The sequence below is a fragment of the Homo sapiens genome, chromosome 11 (genome assembly GCF_000001405.40).
Source record: "Homo sapiens chromosome 11, GRCh38.p14 Primary Assembly".
In the NCBI taxonomy this organism is placed as follows: Eukaryota; Metazoa; Chordata; class Mammalia; order Primates; family Hominidae; genus Homo; species Homo sapiens.
Genome location: NC_000011.10, coordinates 44,807,920 through 44,830,998, shown reverse-complemented (window position 1 = coordinate 44,830,998; position 23,079 = coordinate 44,807,920). Strand labels below are relative to the sequence as shown.

Below are 23,079 nucleotides of genomic sequence, written 5' to 3'. Positions count from 1 at the left end.
TGGGATTACAGGCACCTGCCATTGTGCCCGGCCGGCACAGTGGCATTTTTTTTTAAGTGTGAATTAGCTTGGTAATTTTCAACAATTGGAAAACATCTCTTTAAAAAGCTGAGTTTCCAGCTTCTTTTTAAAGACTTCAGAAGACCTGAAAATACTGGAGCTAGCTGAAAAGTAAGTCTCCATTTAGACAGGGTGTGTGCTGAAGTTTACTGCAGTCCCCACCACTCTCTGGTATCTTCCAGATCCTAAAGCCATAGTTTAAATGACTGAGCCTGAGCTGCTGATTTGCTTGTTTGTTTTTCACTGAATTTGCTTACTTATTTGTGTTAGGTGCCTGGCCCTGTGGGAATTTGAATGATCCCTGCCCTAAGCCCCCTTTGCTTCACTTTCATCACCTGTAAAGTACAGATGATCTTCCCTCATAGGATCAAAGAAAATAACAAACGTGAATGTGGCCAGACTGTGGCTGGTGCCTAACCAATGCTCAATAAATATTTCCCCTTCCCTTGTCTGCCCAACTAAACTGGCCCAGCCATTCATTCTCCAGTCAGCAAATAAATATCAAGCCACACCTTTATGCCAAGTACCACGCAAGACACTGGGGTGTGATGGTGAGCAAACTGGCATGGCTTCTCCCTGCTATGGCACTTGCAAACTATAATCCAGCAAATAAATCTGTAAGTCCAGTTTGAAATATGTGCCATGAAGGCAATAGATAGAGTGGGACGAGAGAGAAGAGGAAGGTTTCTCCAAGGAGATGTATCTGCATTGAACACTGAAGAATAAGAGGGGCCAGCCAGGTGGAGAGGGCTGGACAAGAGCTCCAAGCAGAGGGAACACCCTGTGTGCCCCTGAGTTAAGAAAGAGATTGCATGGTTCTAGGAACTGAAATGAGGCCTATGTGGATGGTGTGGAGTGGGCTAGGGGAAGGAAGTGACGTAACCTTGTGAGGAGGGCAGGGGTGGATCATGCAGGCCCTTCAGACCACAGAAGGAGCGGGAATTTTATTCTCAGTGCAGTGGGAACCACAGAATGCTGGGAGAGACACAGTTGGTTCATATTGCATGTTTCAAAATGTCTGGGCTATGAAATAATCTTTTTCATACAGTATGATACCACTGTATACCTATTAACATCACTGAAATCCAAAATCCTGATAATACCAAATGCTGGCATGGATGTGACTCTTATTCATTGCTGGGGGGAGTGCAAAATGGTGCAGCCACTTTGGAAGAGAGTTTAGCAGCTTCTTATAAAACTAAACATACCCTTATTGTATAATCCAAAAATTGTACTCCTTAATATTTAACTAAATGAGGTGAAAATTTGTATCCACGCAAAAAACCGCACACTAATGTTTACAGCAGTTTTTTTCATGATTGCCAAAAAATTGGAAGCAACCAAGATGTCCTTCAACAGGTAAATGGGTAAACAAATTGCATTTGTCCAATATAATATTATTCAGGGATAAAAAGAAATGAGCTATCGTACCCAAAAAGACATGAGGGAACCTTAAATGCATATTGCTTAGTGAAAAAAGCCTGTCTAAAAAGGCTACATACTGTATAATTCCAATTATATGACATTCTGGAAAGGCAAAACTATGATGAGTGTAAAAAGACTAGTGGTTGTGGGAGGTTCAGGAGAAGGAAGGGAGGGAAGGTTAGATGGAGCACAGAGGATTTGGGGGTTAGTGAAACTACTCTGTAGGACACAGTACCGGTAGACACATGTCATTATACAGGTATCAAAACCCATAGAATGTACAATGCAAAGAGGGACCCCTAATGGAAACTATGAACTTTAGTTAATCGCAATGTATTGGTTCAACTGTAACAAATGTATCACAATAATATTAGATGTAAATATCAGGGAAACCATGTGTGTGCCTGGGTAAGGGGAGTCTCTCTGGGAACTTTGTACTTTTCGAATTGTTTGTAAACCTAAATTTTTTCTAAAAATTAAGTCAATAAATTAAAAAATAAACATTCGTTTTTAAAACTGGGTTATAGTAGAGAGATGGGATTGATGAGAGGGGCAAGAGTAGAGGTGGGGAGACCAGTTGTCCAGGCAGGAGATAGTGGTGGCTTCCACAAGGGTCGTGATGGAGAGAAGAGGGTAGATTCAAGAGCTATTTAGGAGGTAGAATGGAAAGGCCCTGGGGATGGGCTGGATATTGAGAGGGCTGGAGTGAAGCAGGGGGAGAGTCAGGGAGGATTCCCTGGTCGTGGCCTCGGGCCATGAATGGACTGAGGCTCTCCATTCACTGCAGCTGGGCTACAGAAGGGGGAAGGGAATGAAGGTCAGGGAAGCTGTTAAGTCAGTAAAGGACCCATGGGACATCCAGACACCAGGGGTCTGGAGTGTAGGAAAGAGGTCTAGCTAGAGATTCAGAAGCCTCCATCATACAATGGCAGATGAAGCCACAGAAGCGGGCTCACCTTCATGCATTCAGCTCAGACCACCTTTCCGGGGCCCCTGCCGCAGTGCTTATGGCCTTGTGGACTTACCTGTGGCAATACCAGCCCTGCAAAGGCCCTGAGCACCCCTTCATCCTCCTATAGGTAAGGAAACCATTCTAGACGAATCAGAATTGCCAAGATCCTCCAGCCAGCTCATGGAAGATCGAGGCTTCCATCTCTCTGCCAGCTTTTTTTTTGTTGTTGTTGTTTAATTAAAAAACCATTTTTAATGCAGCAATCAGTCAATAAGAGAACTGAACCGGATTCGGGATCAGAATGATGCAGTCCTCCATGAAGATTTCAAAGCTAGATTTTTCACCTCAACCTCCAGCCTTTCACATAGGTAAAGACCATACGCATCTCCAAACCCTCATTCCCCCAGCCTCTACCTTGTGGCACTCTGCACAGCCACCTGTGCAAGACACCCAATGCTTACACACAGAAGACCCTCAACATAATAATGATAACAATAAGGTCCAAAGCCCATGAACTCCCAGGAAGAGAGAAGTCTTCCCTGTGGGGAAACATGAGTAAGGTTGAAGCCAAGGCTCAAACCAAACAGCCAGGTGGGAGTCTACAGCCTGCTTTCCTAAAACTCCTGCGCCCTGGACTCTCCCAGGAGGCCTGTCCCAGCCTGCAGAGGATGAAGGCAGCCAAGTTCTCCTGTTTCAGGACCCAGCCATCCCTGCTTCCCATGTCCCTCTCCTTTCTCTGCCAACATCTTTTGCACAATTCCACACTGCCCTTTCCTCATGCACCTGTCTCCAAACGCCTCAGCATCCATTCTCGCAAATGCACACTGAGCTTCCCACATGGAAAGATATCTTTTGTAGTGGGAACAGGTCTCTTGAGAGGTATTCAAAATCACAAGTGGTTTGGGTTTCCACATTTTGAAAGGGGGATAATTTTAACCTGAGTTCAGGCTAAGGCTTTATTCCAGCCAGGTCCCTGATGACCCCAGGGTGGGATATGTCCCCCTTCAGCATAAGGAAATCACCTACCTGGAGACACCCCCATCTTCCCTACCTGCCCTGGCTATGCTGCCTCCCAGACTCCAGGCACTTCCCCAGTCTCCTTGCAGAATCACCTACCCTCCTCTAGGGCCTGGGCCTGGGCTTGGGTAGGGCACACCTGTCTGCACAGACATTCAGGGTCCAAGACTCAGCAGGGGCTGAGGGAGAAAGGGAAGCTATGGCTCAAGGTACCCAAGGCTTGCTGGTCTTGTTCCGTCTGCTGGCTTCCCATGCTGGGATCCCTGTTGTGTGGTAGGTAAGTAACATCAGGGACCTGGAAAAGCAACTCCGGGGCCTAGAGCTCCTGGGACAGGCTCAGAGGACAGATTATAGCAACCAGCCAGAAAACCATCAGGCCCCCGGAAGGGTCATGTGTAAGCAGTGACCTTGGAGGCGGGAAGGAGCGCAGTGGCAGAGTTGGCGGGATCCACCCAAGACTCCAGCCCAGCCCAGAGGGGCCAGACATCCAGTCAGGGCCCTCGTGAGCTAAAAGGCTCTTGGTTTGGCCACAACAGGAAGCACCCAAGAGTCCAAATGCCTTCACATGTAGAAGACAGAGTCCCTCCTGCCCCCAATCACATAAGACTATGGTAAGCTGGGCACAGGCACCAACAGGTCAGGGAGGGCAAAAAGTGTATAAAGGAGAAATGACATTATACAGAAAGAGAGTAAAATCCTGCCCCTACCCCAGGCTCCCCAAGGCACTCCCCACACTACGGCTGACTCAGGCTCTGTGCAGAATCCAAACCCCTGTGTGTGTCTATCCACAAGGGCACACAAACATCCAGAGGCAAGGCCTGCAGCGTAAAGAGCTTTGGCTTTAGAGTCTGACATTTCTGGTTTCAAATCCTGGCTCTACCACCTATTAGCTGTGTGACTTTGGGCAAGTGACTTAAACATGCTGTGCATCAGTTTCTTTATCTCTAAACCAGGTGAGACAAGATGAGCCAGGTAAAACCCTGAGAGCAGTGCCTGGCACACAGCAAGCTTAGGTGCTAATATCAGTGGTACCTGCCGGCGATAGACATACAGACGATGATCCAAAAATATCCACCCTTCATGTACAGGCAAATGCAAACTTTTTTCTTTTCTTTTTTGAGACAGAGTTTCTCGCTCTTGTTGCCCAGGCTGGAGTGCAATGGCGCCATCTCGACTCAGTGTAACCTCTGCCTCCTGGGTTCAAGTGATTCTCCTGCCTCAGCCTCCCAAGTAGCTGGGATTACAGGCATGCACCACAATGCCCAGCCTAATTTTTGTATTTTTAGTAGAGACGGGGTTTCTCCATGTTGGTCAGGCTGGTCTTGAACTCCTAATCTCAGGTGATCCGCCCACCTCAGCCTCCCAAAGTGCTGGGATTACAGGCGTAAGCCACCACGTCCGGCCCTTCTTTTAGCCTTGCCTGTTGCTGGAAAGCCTTCCTTTCTGCGATGGCCCCCTCACTTTGTGTGTGGTGTAAGAGTGTGGCCCCTATCTCCCACTATCTTTCCTCCAGCCTTGTAAGGTAGATCTTATCCTTGTTTCATTGTAATGATGGGAAATGCAGGCTGAGAGAGGAGAAGCTCCCAGCCTGAGGCCCACAGTCAGAAAGAGGACAGAGTGGGGACCCACACCCTGGTTTTCGAGGCTGCCTTGCCTTGCATGTCCTGTAAGGCCTGTAGACAGTAGACAGAGCGAGCATCCAACCCTAAACACACTCATGGAGAAACAAGCCCACCAGGGTCTCTGTTGTGAACTGGGGACGTCTGAGGATCCGTGAAATGGCCTTGTCTAAGAAAACAGGCCCTGGGTGTACAAAACCCAGCCAACCCCCGCTTCAACATTTCCATCAGGTTCAAATGCTGAGACGGCAACATCCCTGAAACCTGTAAGGAGATAGCTGCATGGCCCCTGACTCCTGTTTCCAGCTCGAGTCTGTCAGGAGACTTCACACAGGAGGGGTCCCGCTGGGATGCATCAAGTCAGGCAAGACCAGCCTTGTTCTAGGAGAGGTTCAGCCTCTGCTGGAGCCTGAGAGCCCACCAGTGAATCGGGGCGCACACTGCAGAAGGTGGCAGGACCCAGGGAGAAGCTTGAGAGCACTGGAGTCAGACTGACCGGGGCTCCCACCCAGGCTGCCCATTTCCTAATAATGTGAACTGAGCCATTTACTCAACCTGGTGGGGCCTCAGTCTTCTCATTTGTGAAATGGGGAAAAAGTCAGCCCTCCGTTCTTGGCTGCGCTGAGGTGATCTGCAAAAGCTCTCACACAGTTTCTGACACATGGAAGGTGCTGGATAAACATCAGGCTCTAACATGTTGCCTTCTACGTGTCCTTCAGTTTGGAGTCAAGAGAAGAGATCAAAAGGGAGCTCTGCCCTCCTTTGATATTCAGGAGTCAGCAGGAGCACTCAGGTCAGAACTCCTCCCCGAGTTCGGGGTGGTGGGGGGTGGTGGGAGGGGGCTCTGACCTAGCACCCTATAAAAGGAAGGTAAAGCTCCAGCACTGGCACAGCTTCATGCCCCTATTGTTGTCTGACCACACTGAACTGGGAGGATGGGTTTAGTGTCTGTGTCTAGGACCAGAGAAGGGTGTAGGGAGGACAAGGATGAGCTGATGTTGATTTTTACATTCTCAGCCCCAAGCGAAGCCTTTGGCTGGTGCCAGTCAACATCTGTAGCATGAGTGAATGAATGAATGAGAGCATCATCCCCGCAGAAGCATCAGACACACAGTCTCTCCTTTCTCCGGCTTCTCCCAAAATTGAACAATTATCTCAACAATAACAGCCACAATTAAAACCCAGCACTGGCCCTGTGAGCCAGGAAGCCCAGTGTGTTTACTCTGAAGGCCTCCGCGGCTGGGATGTGAGGAGCCGGCCTCTGGAATCCCAGGCACAGGCCCGTGGGCCCCTGGCTTTATCTCCCTGCTTTCTCCTTCCTCCCATTGTCCTGTCTGGCTTCCCACAGCCCTAGACAAGGCCCCAGCTTTGTTTGGAGGTCACAGGGTGGCCCTGACTGCCCCAGAGGTATTCGGTTAGGGCAGAATGGCCAATGCCCCTCCTAGGGAAGCATTCCTTTCTGAACTTTCCCAGTGACCCTCCCCCACACAGCTTGGTTTCCTCAAAGACATCAAGGCCACCACATCCCCTATCCCTGCCCCCAGCCCCAGTTGGGGGTGGGTGATCAGAGGCCCCCCAAAGAGGCCAACTGATTAGCTAAGGTAGAGGGCAGGCAAAAAATTAACAAGACAAATGAATAGCCAGGACCAATAAATTAAAATACTACATAGTGACAGCTAGGAGGGGTGTGGGGTGAGGGCAGGGTGCCAATCCATCCTTCCCTAGCGGAGGGGAAATTCAAAAGCACCAGAGGTTTCTGAAGACTGAGCTCAAGAAACAAATGATCCCTCAAAGGCCTGAACTCCAAACCCTCAATGATGGTAGCGAGGCAGGCTTTATGTTGAGGGAAGACCCCGACAGCAGGAGGTGGAGCTGGGGGCGGTCATGACCAAGCCTTGCTTTTTAGCCGATTCCCAGCGACTGGCTACAGCACGGGACTCTAGTACCTCTTTCCAGAGACAGACAAGAAATAAGCTCCATAAATCCTGGTTTTCCGGTATGAGTGGTGCCCAGTTCCGAGAGGGGGGCCTCTTTCATATTCTCTTCCTCCCTCCACCAGCTACTCGACTCAAATGAGCTTCTCTGATTGTCTCAGAGGGTGATGGGAAATGCTGATGACAAAAACATGATGATATCAGTTCTATTCATTTTGCCTTAAACCTAAGCCAGGACCTTTACTTTTGATAGCAGCAGGAGACAAATAGGGGCAGGTCCCCGGTGAAACCTCACCTCCAAGCTGAAGACAGTTTAAAGCCTGAAAGCCAAGCTACAAGTCAAATCCATGGACCAGATTGAGAACCTGTCTTCCAGTCTGGTGTGCTTTCCTCTGATTGATCCCCACCCTTAACCTATTCTACACTTACCTACCCTTTCCTAATTGGTTTTCTACACTGTTGTGCCCACCTTTGAGTGGTGTCTTTACTTTAACCTTTTTTGCATACTCCTAAATCAATTGGCATGCACTCACCATTGTGAGTCCATAAAAAGCCCTGGACCCAGCCACACTAGGAGAGAAACCACCCGACTTCGGGGGAGAGAAAGCCCCCCGCTGCATCGCCTCTCCACTAGAGCTGTTCCATTGTTCAATAAAATTCTTCTCCACCCATCCTCACCCTTTGAATTGTCAGCATATCCTCATTCTTCTTGGACACAGGACAAGAGTTCCAGAACCACCAAATGTGGGTACAAGCTATAACGCAAGCAGGCCGAGTGGGCAGGGTGCCTCTAGTGGTAGGCCTGGGGCTGAGCAAGGCCTGGGCAGTGGGGGGGCGTTGCCGGCCGTGGAGGTCCCTGATTGGCAAAGTGGCTGAGAAAAATTCTGTGTCACTTTCCAATGTTGTAATGAATGAAGTGATGACCTGGATAGTAACATCAGCAGCTCACATTCACTGGGGGCTGACTATAGGCCAGAAGTGTCTTGCTGATCCTCATTGCAAGTCAGGGAGAATTTGTACAAGGACTCAGAAAGTCTAAGAAACCTGCCCAATGTTACACAGCTGGTGGGAGAATCAACTCAGCTCCACCTACATGTGAGACCCTCAGTCCCTTTAATTCCCTTAACTTGGTTTAGCAGGACTTATATTATACAATTGGAGAAAGTGAAGCCCAGGTCAATGATTTATGTCATTTGTCCTCAGAAGCAGGGTCCTGGTCTTCATTTGGGGTCTGACATTTTCCCAGAGTTAGCCTGTGTCTCCTCAGCCTTTGGGGAAGGACAGCTGAAGGGGGTTGTAATTCCAGAAGGGTGGCTGTCCTCCAAACACTGGGATGCTCCCTTTAGGGCTGTGGCTGGGAAGGGCTAGCCAGCCAGGAACTACATTTTGCAGCCTCCTTTGCACCTATGTGGTCATGTGACTCATTCTCACCAATGATAGTGGAAGTGACGCCCAAGTCACTTCCACTATCATTGGTGAGAATGTGATGAGAAAATAAGTGAGCCCTCTTTACTCCTTCCTTCTTCCATAATGACCTTGGAAGCCACATGTTGAAAATGGAAGAAACCTGGGACCCAAAATACTGTGTGGACAGCCACCCACCACTTTCACTGGATTGTCGCTGAGTGAGAAATTAATGTGTATTGTATTAAGCCACTGAGATTCTGGGTTTACCTCTTGCAGCATCTGGCACTGCCTTAACCCATTACTAGCAGTTTTGGTTCTCAGTTATTACCAATCATCTTACCCACAACCATTCTTGAAAGTGTTAAGAAAGACCCCCATATCAAAGTTCATTTAAATTGGGAACTATTTACTGAATGCCTCCTATCCCTGGCCCTGTCTCATCAACACACAGAAGTTCTCTAATGTCCCTATCCCTGTACCCCCACCCCACCTTTCCTGCCTGTCACAGCCAGGCCTCTCGAAGGAATTGGCTACACCTCCTGTTGCCATTTCTCTATCTTCTATTCACATCTCAACTCCTCCAGTCTGGCCTTCACCCCCAGCCATCCTCAGAAGCAGACCCAGCCAAGGTCACCCTTCCTCCACGACAGTCGAGATTGCAGTTCTGATATTCTGGAACCTCAGCTCTTGTACAAATGGCCCCACCTTTCAGGAGCACAGCCAAGCTGACCACACAACCTGTCCACAGACCTGATTCCTCGTGACTCTTTCTACTACCTTGAGGGATCATTTAGTTAGTTTCTGTAAATTTATGCAGAAGCCCAGTGTGTGCTAGACAATGTTGTAGTCAGGGATATAGAAGAGGAAGAGGAGGTGAAGAAGAAACCATCCCTGACCTTGAATGGCTTTCAGTCCAAGTAGGGTCAAGTATATCCCCATTCTTCAGATGAGAAAACTCAGGCTCAGAGAAACTAAGTGTCTAAAATAACATAGCTGATGAGTGTCATCTCACCCACTGACCCCACAGAGAAATTATCTGAGAAAAATAATGAAGATGATGTACTTCAAGAGAGGCCAGAACCTTAATATGCACTTAACTAATCATCCCAATATGGGTACAAAGAAACAGAACAATCGCAGGTTCATCTTTTCTTCTTCCTGATTCTACTGTTTGTAATGTTCTAATTAAAAGTCAACCACTCTCAATAATCTCCAGTGAGACCCAAGGAAATGTCTTGGCCCTAATTTTAGCCCCGTGAGAAACAGTCCAATATCCTATTAGATAAAATTATTTGACCTTAAAAAGGACTACATCCCCTCTCTGTGCTTCAGTTTCCCATGTGTACACTGAGGAGTGTAGAGTTAAACTCGATGATCTCTCAGGCTTATTGCAATGTTCGATGTCTGTGATTTTAGCATGCTCCCACTTGTTAATCAGACACTGGCAGCCGCCTCATCTATCTTTCTGCACCCTAAAAGTTAACATTTTATTGAGTGCCTCTCTGGTGTATCACAAGCACCAACTCATTGTATTAGTCCATATGTATTGCTCTGGAGGAATACCTGAGACTGGGTAATTGATTTAAAAAAGAGGTTTACTTGGCTCATTGTTCTACAGGCTGTACAAGCATGGCACAGCATCTGGCTGGCTTCTGGTGAACCCCCAGGAAGCTTTTACTCATGGCAGAAGGTGAAGGGGGAGCAGGCATGTCACATGGCAAGAGAGGGAGCAAGAGAGAAGCTATGCTCCTTTAAACACCTGCTCTTGCATGAACTAATAAAGCAATAATTTACTCATTATTGCAGGGAGGGCACGAAACCATTCATGACATAAAGGATCCACCCCCATGAGCCAAACACCTTCCACTCCACCACACCTCCAACACTGGGGGTCAAATTTCAACACGAGATTGGGGGCGGGGGGACAAATATCCAAACCATATCACTCATGTATCTTTCATGACAACCTAGGAAAGTATCATTTTATGGATGAGGATCCCAAGGCTTAGGAAGTTTAAGGAACTTGCCCAAAAATGCACAGCAAGTGGCCAAAACAGGATTCAATCACAAACAGTCTAGCTCTCAAGTGCCACGTGGCACCTCCCACAGTCTCATCTATTGCAAAAAGCTCTGTCCATAGCTTCTGAGAAGTGGACAGTGCACCATATGACCCTGTCCACTTGCCACAGATGACTGGACCAGGGAGGACGCCTGTGCCCAGAGCAGTCCACCCCTTGACCATTAGCAACAGAAGGCATGGCTGGGTGTGGAAGGCCCCACCTAACAGCAAGAGGCATTCAGGTTTGCATAGGGAGGCTCCTAGGGCTCTGGCCAGTTGGCTATGAGAAACTTAACTGAAACCCATGAGAATGTGTGGCGCAGGCACCAGTTGGGTCAAGGTTATCATGAGTGAGTAGAACACGCTAGTCAAAGCACAGAGAGCATGGGCCACCCTGAAGGAGCCTGGCCAGAGATAGAATTCTTCCATTTGCTGGTCGCAGGGGCTCAGAGGTGTCCCAGTTTTGCCCCTTGGATTTCCTTAAGCCCTGACTAGACCTTGACAGCAACCCTCCTTGGCCGGCGCTAGTGCAGATGGTTCTCTGTGTCCTTAGTCCCAGGGAGCTTTCAGAAACCAAAACTTTTGAGCAAATCAACTCCCTTTCCCCTTGCCAGACACCTTTGCCTGGATCTGTCTGTACCTTTACAAGACCAACAGAAGGTAATAAGTAATAAGTAAGCCATTGGCTCAGGCTCTGGACTTTTCTGTGATATAGAGATTTTTGCTGTCACAATATTTATTGTAATAGGATTTGACAGAGCACTGGCATGAGAGACAGTATGCATAAAGAAAAAAAAAAGGAAAGGAAAGAGGAAAAAAAAAAAGCCTTCCAAGCTCAAGAAAATGGAAAAAGCAGAGTGCATAAGAGAGGGGAGAAAAGTCAATTAAATCATGATAATTACTTCCACTGCCGTGCCCAAGAGCAGCATGAGCGTCTATTAATTAGGAGTTCCATGTTGACTGTGCCGTTTGACTTCAACGAGGCTGCCAGTGTGCACCATAATAACATTCTCCTGGAGAGCAAATGTGTGAAAATATTTTCACCCTGACAATTAGCAGTTTTAAAGAACCCGACACACATGCACATGCGCACAGTCCACCTCCCTTCCCAACATACACACAGAGCAAGTTCCCTGGGCCCCTGCGATTAGCCTGAAATGCAGCCGTTTCTGCTGTCCCCAATATCTATTCCTCAGAAGTCAAGTTTCCCAACTCCAGTCCCTATAATTACCGGCTCCTCTCATTAGCACTCAGCAGCTTGCGTGGGTGCAAATTCCCAGCCAGGGGCACAGAGCAGGAGCCTAGAGGTGGCAGCAATCCCTGGCCAAAGGCAAGATGGGGCCAAACCACTCCAGAGAAGAGCCCGCCTGAAGGCAGCCTTGACAGAAGGGGGCTCAGAGCAGCCTGACTCCTTCCCCAGATCCAGCTCCACATCCGCACACCAGGCGCGTCCGTGGCTTAGATTCCAGGGAATGTTCTAAACAATCCATGAAACTGGGACCTGGGGAGACAGGCAAATGGCCAGGCTGTTTACTCAGGAGGGTTCTGTCTGGCCCAACCCTGGACTACCAGGGTTGGGAGGGACGTAAGAGATCACCTAGGCCATTTGGCAAATGGGGAAATAGGTTCAGGGAAGTCAGGCCACGTGCTGTTAGTGGCAGGACCAGAACTCAGGCCTAGGCCCCTTGAGCCCCAGCCAGGACTCCCCCCTTATATGACAGGCTCATCTAGGACATGTTATATCATATATTATTCTTTCAATATAATAACTATTGCTATGTAGGGCCTGGCACATGAGCGGTCAGTACATAACTGTTCACTTCTTCCTCCCTTTCCTTGCAAGGATAACAGTCAGACATTGACTACTGTGTTTCCCGGCCCTGGGGGATTGAAGATGTGGGGATAGGGCAGGCAGGCAGAGGGGAATGGGGGATGCTCTAGCTCTTCCCGGAGTGAAGTGGGCACACAGGAGAGAAGCCAGGAGCCAGGTCTCAGACAAATGCAGGACGCTGGGCCACCTGTTCATCTGCCCTGATCAGCTGGAAACAGAGAACCCAGGCAAGGACACAGGATCGGGCCCCTGCTGATGCTCTCTGGACAGCTGGGGTGCTGAGCCAGGAAATCCTCTGGCCCTCTGGCCCCAGGCTCTCCATTGCTTCAGAGCTGGGGACAGAGGAAGGTGAGGGTCAGGGCCCTGGGAGGGCTGCGTCCTGGAGGATGTATAGAAATAGCATCCCCTGCCCAGGGAGGGCTGCATGGGCAGGGCCGTGGAGGGAAATGGGCTTTCCTGCCATTCACCGTCAGTTCTGCACCAGCCAAGTTAAACAACAGGGACTTGCCCACATCACCCACCTAGCCATTTGCAAAAGTGGGATATCCTGACTTGCAGGCCAGTGCTCCCTGCTCTCCTGACTTAACACAGGCTTAAAGGCTAATGGGAACAGATATTAGCAATCAACATGGAAAAAAATCAGAACTCTGCAGATCCCTACCCCAGCCCCATTTCCTGGATAGGTGATCTCAGCTACAGGCCTCTCCTCTCCAGCCTCAGACCTCCCATTTACAAAGCAGGAATAATTTCAGTTCCCACTGAGGACTGTTGTCCAGCTGGATGAAATGAAACCACACTGGCAGAAGTGCCTGGACCACAGTGGTCAGGTGACCTGGGTGACTTCAGCTCCTGGAGCCTCATTTCCTGTCTGTGAAGTAGATGGGTTGGACACCATGTATTGTATCAAAGCCCTTCTGCACTTTGGTGGCATGTTGAATTAGGGTTCCCAAGTCTTCCCTCTCCATAAAACAATGAGTCACCCACATTCTTGCTATAGCCTCACATGGGTGGAGTGACTGTCCACCCCTTGAATTTGGCCCTGTCCACATGACTTACTTTGACCAATGGGATGTCAGAGCAGAGGCATGACTGTGCCCAAGGCTGGGAGGGTCTTCTTGGCCTCTGGTCAATTGCTGTGAGAAGAAAATCTCAGTAGCCACTGCCCCTTCAGCCTAAGTCGCAGCATAAACACACGTAGAGCTGACCACAGGGTCCAGGCAGCTGCTGGCCCAAGGAGGAAGAGAGACACAGAGAGCAGACATCAACACAACCTGCAGCCAAGCCTGGAGCCGAAAGCCTAGGGCCAGGCCAGCCCAGCCATGTGGCAGCTAGCCTACAGCCCTTGAGCTGAGAGTAAACGTTGGTTTCAGCCACTGAGCTTTGGAATCTTTTGTTATGTGGCATTACTTTGGTGATAACCAATATAAATCCCATTTTACTCTGAGAAAGAGGTTGAGTGACTTGCTCAAGCTCACAGTGAGGGCAGGCAGCAAAGCCAGAGCTGGAACCCAGGATGGCCCACCGTGCATGCCATCAGCTGCCTCTTCCGTGTGCTGATCTTGTGGTGTTCACAAGGGCATCCCTAAAGGGAAGCTAAGCAGGCCCCCAACCCTGCTCCTCGCCTCCAGCCTCACACTTCCCTGAGAGGAAGCCTTCATTCAAGTGGCCCCACCTCGCTAGCTCCAGTAGCTCACTGCACATGTGGCACCAGAGCCCAACTAGCCACAGGATTCCCTGACCAGAAAGTTGCCTCACCAGGGCCTGGCACTCTCCTGTACTGCTCTTCCTTGGCAGGGACAGAACAGAAGTGCAATGGAGGAAGAGGAGAGGCAGACAGCAGCTTGGAAAAGAAAGCTGCCAGGCTCCTCCTGCTCAGGAGGCACCATGGCCCACCTCCTTCCTGCACCCAGACAGCAGCAGCTTGGGAGCAGACTCCCCCAGGAAGTCTACACTCACTTGCATTTGGAGGCAGAACTCACTGGAGTCAGGCAGGCTCGGAGAAAGCAGGAGGACATGGGAGAAGCTACCAGTCAGCACCAGCTTCTCATCAACTCATTCCCCAAGCAATTCTCAGGGTGCAGTCTCTGAACATGTGTGGGCCCTCACCTGCCTTCAATCCCCATGTATGGAGAGAGGAGTTAAGATCCTCTCCCAGGGTTGCTGGGAGGACTGCACGGGTTATGAGCACCAGGGCCTGGTGTCAACACAGAGGCAGCATCACACATCAGCTGCTATTATTCTCTGATGTTCATCTGTGCCAGAGCACACATAGCACTCGATTCTGATGAACCAGAGGGGAAAAGACACAGATGCTGAAGCTGGTACAAGCACATGCATATCCAATGCAGTCTCTGGACAATTTCAGTTGCGGGTGACCCAGGAATGGCAAATGTGTGGCACACATGCAACTGCCTCCTGGTTCTCACCCATGGCAGACATCACTAATCGATTACAGTACTCTTTGCTGATCCACCTGGAAGGGAGCTCCGTGCACCTTTTCAGTCCAGTGCCTTGGCAGCTGCTAATCATTGGTCTACATTGGCGCTAACAATAAAAGTGATTTATCATCCCTTCTCCAGTCCAGCAGTCTTGTTTACAGACAAGAAACTAAGGCCCAGAGTGGGCAATAAACTTGCCCCAGGTCACACAGGAAGGCACGATAAGAGCTCAGGTTTTTATATTCTGGTGCTTTCCCCACTGCATTTGTGCTGCACACGGACACTGATTTTGTTTTCTGGATATATTGGGGAGAAGGCTCCGTGAGACTCCATCATCTGCTCTGCTCCCTCTGCCCAGCCACCCAGCCTCCTCTTGTGCCCACCTCATTGCCTTTACTGGTCTCTCGGCCCGGCACACTTCTCCTGATGACACATGGCTGGTGGGCTGTCAAGCTTGCTCTCAACTGCCCGCTCCTCCAAGAGAAGCTGCCCCTGCCCAGTGAGCTGAAGTCTCCCGCACCCTCCCTACTCCTCCATCATGCTCCATGAGCTCCTTTTATTTTGTGGGCACTCACCATGGCCTGAGTTTATCTAAGGCATGTATGTATTTATCATTATCACCATGGTATCCCTGGGGCCATTCTAGAGCAATCCCCAGCACAGGGTAGGTGCTCAATACATAATTGTTGAGCAAGTAACCAAATCCCATCAGCCCTCAACTCCCCAGACCCCCCTTCACACACCACACACTCCAGGGACAAAAGAACACACCTCGGCTGGGCAGGCCTCCAGACCACACACCCTAACCCTGAGGGTGCCCCCATCCGGCCCACAGTCCAGCCACCCCTGAGGAAGGGCTGATCAGCAGCAGAGCTGAAGAAGTCAGCCTTTGGCCTCTCCATTCTTAGTCATCTTCTGGGAGTGCACATGGGCTCATTTTGGTCCCTTGTTTCGACACAAGATGGATTGAGAAATGAGGAGAGAAATGCATCCAGCCCGTGGATCACTCTAGTCTGTGCCTGGATCCATATGTCAAGGTAGAAGGCAGGTCCCAGTGGGGCCTGGAAGCCCCCAGGAGTGCCTGCCCTACATTACAGGTGGGAGCCTAGCTGCCTGCCTGCTGAGCCCTTCCTAGGCCCACAGTAAAGCCTCTGACTGGCTTCACCATCTGCCACTCTAATCTTCCCACTGCCATGCTCCCACGCCAAGCACCTTTCTATCTTGCCATTTCCTCTGCCTGGAATGCTCTTCTGCCAGCTCTCTGCATAGTGAGATTCTTCTCATGGTTCAGGTCTTCTTTGCACAATATTCTCCCATCAGAGGGACACACCCAAGCAGCCCCCATTGTCACCCTTCCATCTTATCATATTTCATCATCTTTGCATCACTTTTTACTCTCTGAAATTATCTTATGTACTTGCTTTCTTTAGTTTTAGCAGCCTGCTCTATCAGACTTTAAACCCAGTAGGCAGTACCTTGTAGGCCCTGTTCATAGCTTGTACTCCTGGTTGGCTGGTCTATTGTAGTGGCCACACCATTTACCATTGATGAATGAGTGGGTGGGTGGGTGGATGGATGGATGGATGGATGGATGGATGGATGGATTCTACCACCAACTCCCTCTGGGACCCTCCTAGATGGTGTTTCTCTCTGAAGCCCCAGTATTAACTCAGGCTTGGTGCATAGCATGGCACAGACACAAAGTGTTGCTGAGTGCACTGTATTATTTTCAGGATCTCAGTTTTCACATCTGCAAAATGAGGCACTGGGACTAGTCAATGCTTTTCAAACCATGTGGCTGGAAACCTTCTGGAAGGGGTTCACACATCCTGCTCTGCTGTTGTGATTTTCAAATAAGCAAATGAGAAAACTCAAGACAAGACAGTGAGTTTTCATGGAGCCACGTGTCTTCATTGTAAAGCCCAGTCCTTCCTATCTGGGGGATGGGAAGAGGGGCAAATATTCTTTCTTCCAAGAAATAATGGTGATAAGGGATGATTGTTATCTTAAAAAAAAAATCCTTATTCTGCAACAGGAAGAGATTGGCAACCAGATGCAGATGTCAGTCCTGACTTTTTTTAAAAAATTATTGGTAAAGGAAATGAAGTCTGGGAACCTCCATTCTGGTTCTCTGCAGAGATGCCACAAACAATGAGGCATTTTCCACCAAACAATGAAGAATTAAACTGCCTGAGGACTCCTTTCTTGCTTTTGTCTGTTTTCTATTTGGGCTTTCCTTTGAAAAAGTGGCTTTGCTGCTTTATAAAGTTCAACGATCCCTGAAGGATCTATCTCCAAGGCCCCATTCCCAGGATCTCTGCACCCTTGATTTTTATTTTTACATCTTGGCCCCTGCATTATGCAGGCTTTTCTCCAGGTCTGGGCGTGGTTGGATCCCAAGTGTGCAGAGGACCCAGGAGGGCTCTGTGCTGCTCAGCTCAGCCCTCTGTGATAGTCTGCCCTCTGGTCTATGCACTCCTTCCTGGGCCTCTCCAGGCAAGGTTTTGTGCCTCTTGCAAAATAACAGCCTCTGAAGTGTATTTTTGTCATGCATGCAGCTGGGACCCTGGCATTGATAGTGGTTGTACAATTCCCGTTTCTAACCTCATTCAGAGAGACCAAGTGTCTTACTCAAGGTCACACAGCAAGGAGGGGCACAAAGCCAGTTCATAGAGGTCTTACTCCCAGCAGCGCCTGCTGAGTGGAAATTTCAAGAGCCCTTTGGCAGCCACTCCTGGACATGAGAAAGGGTAAGACTGTCTCCAATTCACTCACACTGTGCTCATAACCACCGTGTGCTGAGCACTTGAACTGTGCCAGGCACTTTATATACATCGTTTTAACCCCACAAATGCAAGAAGTATCATGATTCCCACTTTCCCCCTCTGGAAACCAAGACTCAGAGAGGTTCCCTGACTTGCCGTGATCACACAGTGAAAACTAAGCCAGGATTTGGCCCATATCCACTCAAAGCACACCCTCTCCTTTGTGTCTGTCCTCATGCCGTGGCCTGTGGCTTCCTGCGCACAGGGCATGCAGATGGTCTTCCCCTGCTCAGGGTCATCTCTCCAGAAGCAGCCTGACCGGGTGCCTGGCCTGCAGGAGACAGAAGCGCCAGGCCGCTGAGGCCAGGAATGGACTGGCAGGACTGGGAGAAATCAAGGCAGCCCTTTCCCTGGGAGAGTGAGGAAGCTGGGCACAGAGAGACGGCCAGCAGGCTGCTGCAAGGTGAGGGTTATGGGTGGCCCCAGAAAGAGCAGGCCTGGTGTCGGGGAGCCGCACACAGACACAGGGCTTTGCTCCCTCATTCAACACATGAAGCATTAATTTTTCTCAGGGCAAATAAGCAATAGTGCTCTGTGTGTTTCTGTGTGTGTGTATGTACACTGGTCTGTCTTAACATTCCTAGGAACCCTAGGGACCCCAATGGTGCCAAAGCAGCATCACAGCCTGAGGGCAGCCCGTGGCACCCCCTCTCCCTCCCTCAGATACCCGCTTTAGCTAAGAATCCTGCAGCATCTCTTTGAGCCCAGTAAAGCTATTTCATGAACCTGGTCTGTGCCTTAATGATCCCTGGCACCCTTTGGGGGTGGGGTCAGTGGATGGGCAATAGGAATGTTAGCCCCACCTTTTCCACTATTCATTCTCTAGGAACCAGACTAGGGAGTCTGTGAAGATGGGCCCCCATCAGAGTTTGCACCACCTCCCCTGGGTTCCAGCAGCACGTGGTGCCCCCTCTGTGAGTCTGTTTATGCGTCATCCCCACTGGACTGCCCTCCATGACAGCAGAGGATTCTTTTAGTTTAACTGCAACATCAGTTACACATCAGACACAAGAAGGTCCTACATCATACACACAGCAGGAAGGAAGGAGGGAAAGGGCATAGTAACAACAATCACAGATCTGAGCCCTAATATGCACCAAGCACCTCGCTGAGCACATTACAAGCTAGCACTCATGTCATCACTCCTGTAACCCTATCAGGGAACTGAGGCCCAGAGAGGCTAAGTCATTTGCCCCAGGTCACACAGCCAGGAAGTGGCCAGGCTGGGTTTGGAACCCAGGCCTGCAGATCTACAAAGTGCATGCTCTTTGCCTTGGTTAGACCTGCCTGGCTGTACAGGACGGAGGATGCCCCCAGCTTGCAGGCCCACCTGGCAGAGACCTGGGAGGTAAGCGTGTTTGATTACTCATTGAGAGTGATGAAAGAAGGAAACCACAGGGCCTGTTTCCACCGAAGTCGACCACTAGCAACATATGGCATTGCCAGCCCTGCCCACTCACAGGGCTAACTGGGACAGCTGTCATCCCGGGGAATGAGCTGACCCTTCTGTTCTCCCCCTGGGGGTTCCTAATTTTACCAATAGCAGCCATCTTCATTAAGGAACTTGTCAGCACATCAAAATAGTGCTGTGATTAACTCCTTGAACAAATATTTGCAGAGCCCTGACTTTACACTCAGGGCTAAATGTTCTTTAAAAAGCATAAAACATAGGCCGGGTGCAGTGGCTCATGCCTGTAATCTCAGCACCTTGGGAGGCCAAGGCGGGTGGATCACCTGAGGTCAGGAGTTCGTGACCAACCTGGCCAACATGGTGAAACCCTATCTCTATCAAAAATACAAAAAAATTAGCCAGGTGTGGTGGCGGGTGCCTGTAATCCCAGCTTCTCGGGAGGCTGAGGCAGGAGAATCACTTGAACCCAGGAAGTGGAGTTTGCAGTGAGCCGAGATTGTGCCATTGCACTCCAGCCTGGGCAACAAGAGCGAGACTCCATCTCAAAAAAAAAAAAAAAATCCTAAAATGTGGTACATGTCATCAAGGAGTTTATCACTAGGAGATTAATTGTGCTTACATTTCTGATTCCCTTTCCAAGGCTAATTGTAGAGTGTGCCTTTCCCTCCCTCTCTCTTATCACATCCAGATAGATGCTGACTATCTAATGAAGGCAGTTAAAAAACAAAACGAAACAAAACAAAACATCAGATTATGTGAATAAACATCAACAGAGGTGCAATCTCCCAGTTGGACAACAACTAGTGGAAAAGCTGTGGCTACAGTATGAGAAGGCACAGGCAGGGGTGTGTGTGTGTGTGTGTGTGTGTGTGTGTGTGTGTGTGTGTGTGTGTGTTAAAACTCCAGTTATTGACTAGGGATATAAAAGAGTTTCAACTGTGTTTGTAGAAAAGGAAGCCTGCTATTGTTTTGGGATGAGACGGATATCAGCCAATTCTTTAATTAGAAATGCCTACTGGTTACATCATACTACGAAATGACAGTGTAACATGCTTCTGCCTGTTCTTTTAAAATATGAGGAAACCACTATATACTCAAAAGAATTGAAAACAGGTTGGGCTTGGTGGCTCACACCTGTAATCCTAGCACTTTGAGAGGCCACGGCGGGCAGATCACTTGAGCCCAGGAGTTCGAGACTAGCCTGGGCAACATGGCAAAACCCCCTTCCTGCAAAAAAATAACAAAAAATTAGCTGGGTGTGGTGGCATGTGCCTGCAGTCCCAGCTACTTGGGAGGCTGAGGTGGGAGGATGGCTCCAGCCCAGGAGGAGGTTACAGTGAGCCATAAGCCGAGATCGAGTCACAGCACTCCAGCTTGGGTGGCACAGTGAGACCCTGTCTCAAAAAAAAAAAAAAAGAAAAAAAATTGAAAACAGGTGCTCAAACATAGCAGTGCTGTTCACAACAGCCAAAAGATAGAAATAAATATTCATCAACAGATGAATGAGTAAGCAAATTATGGTATATACATACTATGGAATATTATTCAGCCACAAAAGGGAATGGAGTTCTGATACCCACTGCAACAGAAATGAACCATGAAAGCATGCTAAGAAGCCAGACACAAAAGGCCACATAGTGTATGACTCCATTTATATGAACTACCCAGAAGAGGTAAATCCATAGAGAAGGAAGAGGAATTGGTGGTTGCGAAGGGCTGAGGAAAGAGGAGGGTGGGGAGAAACTGCTTGATGGATAAGGGGTGATGGAAATGTTTTGGAACTTGACGGAGGTGGTGGCTACAGGACACTATGAATGAGCTGAATGCCACTGAATTGCACACTTTAAAATGCCTAATTGTATGTTATGTGCATTTCACCTCAATAAATGGTTTTTGGAAAAAGAAAAAAGATGCAAGAAAAGCCTGAGTTTTCCCAATGATATGAAGGCAAACGGGTAATACGGGATGAAGGCACTGGTTTTTGAGCCAGAGCTCCAGGTCCACTCTCGCTCCATCACTTCCTAACCCTATGACCTATGGTAATCATTTTTGCGCCGTTTCCTCCTCCATCAAATGGGGCTTTGCAGGGCTGTGTGAGGACCCAGTGGGTGCTAGATAAGAAAGTAATTTTGACAATATAAGATGCATTAAGCTAACATTTACTGAGTACCTATGGCCCAATCGCTGTGCTGAACACATTTCACTGTGCATCTCACTTATTCCCCATAACAAACCCATTTTACAGAAGTGGAACCTGAGGTTTAAAGAAAATCAGTGGTAGAGCCAGATCAGAAGCGCATGCTGCTCTCAGCCATGGTGCCAGCCTGCCTTGCCCATGGCATACGCACTACCATCATTCAGAAGAGCTATCACACCTCTTGAGATACACACTCCAAGCACCCACCCCCTCAAGATTCAGCAATGCACCTCAGCTCTGTACTAATGTTCAGCATCAAGCGAGAAGCTGGGTTATTCGGGCCCATGTCCTGACAGCCAGACGCATCTATGGACCTGTGGCTCTCTGCTTCTCAAATGGCTCCTTCCCAATTCCTGGGGAGCCACTGATGTGAATTTCCCTGAAAGTGAATTTCAGATTTGAATCCTTTTGTGACAAGAACCTGATTGCATAGTCTCCATGTGCCAGGTGCCATGCCGGGTCCTGGGGATGCAGAATGAAGAAGCTTGTGCCCCAGCTTCAGAGACCTCTCGGTGGAGATAAATGGGAAAATATATGAGTGCTCCCCAGTGTTAGAAACTCAGCAATGGACATCTGCACAGTGCATGATGGGTGTGTGTAAAGGAACTCCTGGGGAACTCAGAATGGCACAGTGTTAAGAAGGCAGACTCTGGTTCTATTCCTGCTTCCACCACAGATGGGCTGTGTGGCTGTGGGAAGTCACCTAACCTCTCTGTGCCTCAGTTGTAAAACAGTGTTCATTGTACCTGCATCAGTGAACAGTGTGTGAAGATTAATAATTTAGGACATGAGAAGTGTTTAGAACAAGGTCTGTCCCATGGTAGTTGCTATAGAATCAGTGTTAGCTCCTACGATTACCATGATTTCCGAGGGGGTGTAAGCCTGGAAAGGAGTCAAGGCACAAAGTTCAAGGATGACACCTGAGAACCGCATAGACCCAAGTGCCAAACTAACACAGGCCTGTTTTCAAGCAAAGAGTCCATGTGGAAATGCAAATCTTATACGAATATGGATAATCAGCAGTTATCACAAACCACGGTGAGGGAGACGGAACCGAGATCTGTCCACAAACCCAGATTCGTTGGGAAGTGAGAATATCAATTTCCAAGAAACGTTAAATTATATCGTTTTCTCCACACAGCTGCCAGGCCCCAGAGAGTAACTTCATGTTCAAATTGCTTTCTGATCTCCTGAGATTCCATCTCCCTGTTCCACGTCCTCACCTCCCTCCCCCAAGGTCTCTGGAGGATGTATTTGTACATGTCACTCACTCCTATGCTGCAGAGAAAAGTGAGAGCCACAGATCAGGTGATGATCCCATGTTCCCACTCTAGAAACACAGGGGAAATGAGCAGAGCCTATGGATGCCTTTACCTAGGGAATCCATACGCATAAATAGGCTGTCTTTACACAGGCATAGGATTTTCTGGTCAATTTCCTGTCTCTCCCTCCTGTACTAGGTCTGTCCATCATCACAGCTGTGGTCTGAATCCAGGTTCAGAAACACCCACCCTCAAGATGCTGGAGGAAGATGGTAGAGGTTTCCAATCCTCGCACCACCTCTTCTAGCTGTGTGACCTTGGTCAAGTTACTTCACCTCTCTGAGCCTGAGTGCCTTCATCTGTAAAATGGGAATAATATCACTTTCCTGGGGGAAGTTGTTGCAGAAACAATGAATATTCATGTGAAGCTCCTGGCACATAATAGGGGTTTATACAAAAAAAATCAAACCAAAGCTTCCCGAATTACTAAAACAATATCTGCTCCTGGCCCTATTTCAGTCTTGGATCTTCAAGTGCTACCTCCTGAGACCGCACCCCAGGGTCCCACATTCTAGGGGAGATCCCCAGCTCAGAGCCTCGGAACTCAGCCACCCCTACACGGTCCTCTACTTTGAGTAACCC

The 23,079-nt window shown here is 49.0% G+C and overlaps 1 protein-coding gene across 7 annotated transcripts in view, besides 6 other annotated features; it reads right to left on the bottom strand.

Annotated features, from left to right (window-relative positions):
* Positions 1-23,079, bottom strand: part of TSPAN18 (tetraspanin 18) — a 206,114-nt gene that overhangs the window by 101,425 nt on the left and 81,610 nt on the right. The gene's annotated exons all lie outside the window — the stretch shown is intronic.
* Positions 5,744-6,609: an enhancer, noted in NCBI's record as "OCT4-NANOG-H3K27ac-H3K4me1 hESC enhancer chr11:44845941-44846806 (GRCh37/hg19 assembly coordinates)". NCBI's record gives its function as "activates a minimal SCP1, AML or CMV promoter by ChIP-STARR-seq in naive H9 embryonic stem cells {active_cell/tissue: H9 hESC(naive)}" and the evidence as "EXISTENCE:reporter gene assay evidence [ECO:0000049][PMID:30033119]".
* Positions 6,610-7,474: an enhancer, noted in NCBI's record as "OCT4-NANOG-H3K27ac-H3K4me1 hESC enhancer chr11:44845076-44845940 (GRCh37/hg19 assembly coordinates)". NCBI's record gives its function as "activates a minimal SCP1, AML or CMV promoter by ChIP-STARR-seq in naive and primed H9 embryonic stem cells {active_cell/tissue: H9 hESC(naive and primed)}" and the evidence as "EXISTENCE:reporter gene assay evidence [ECO:0000049][PMID:30033119]".
* Positions 6,707-7,001: a silencer, noted in NCBI's record as "tiled region #8132; K562 Repressive non-DNase unmatched - State 22:ReprW". NCBI's record gives its function as "represses a minimal TATA promoter and a strong SV40 promoter by Sharpr-MPRA in K562 cells {active_cell/tissue: K562}" and the evidence as "EXISTENCE:reporter gene assay evidence [ECO:0000049][PMID:27701403]".
* Positions 7,475-8,340: an enhancer, noted in NCBI's record as "H3K27ac-H3K4me1 hESC enhancer chr11:44844210-44845075 (GRCh37/hg19 assembly coordinates)". NCBI's record gives its function as "activates a minimal SCP1, AML or CMV promoter by ChIP-STARR-seq in naive H9 embryonic stem cells {active_cell/tissue: H9 hESC(naive)}" and the evidence as "EXISTENCE:reporter gene assay evidence [ECO:0000049][PMID:30033119]".
* Positions 11,782-11,951: an enhancer, noted in NCBI's record as "experimental_21423 CRE fragment used in MPRA reporter constructs". NCBI's record gives its function as "activates a minimal promoter by MPRAs in K562 erythroleukemia cells, with activity observed for the introgressed 11:44840684 or rs56318887 variant allele {active_cell/tissue: K562}" and the evidence as "EXISTENCE:reporter gene assay evidence [ECO:0000049][PMID:34662402]".
* Position 11,866: a transcriptional cis regulatory region, noted in NCBI's record as "Neanderthal adaptively introgressed variant 11:44840684 (GRCh37/hg19 assembly coordinates) or rs56318887 in the experimental_21423 CRE". NCBI's record gives its function as "modulates activity of the experimental_21423 enhancer by MPRAs in K562 erythroleukemia cells {active_cell/tissue: K562}" and the evidence as "EXISTENCE:reporter gene assay evidence [ECO:0000049][PMID:34662402]".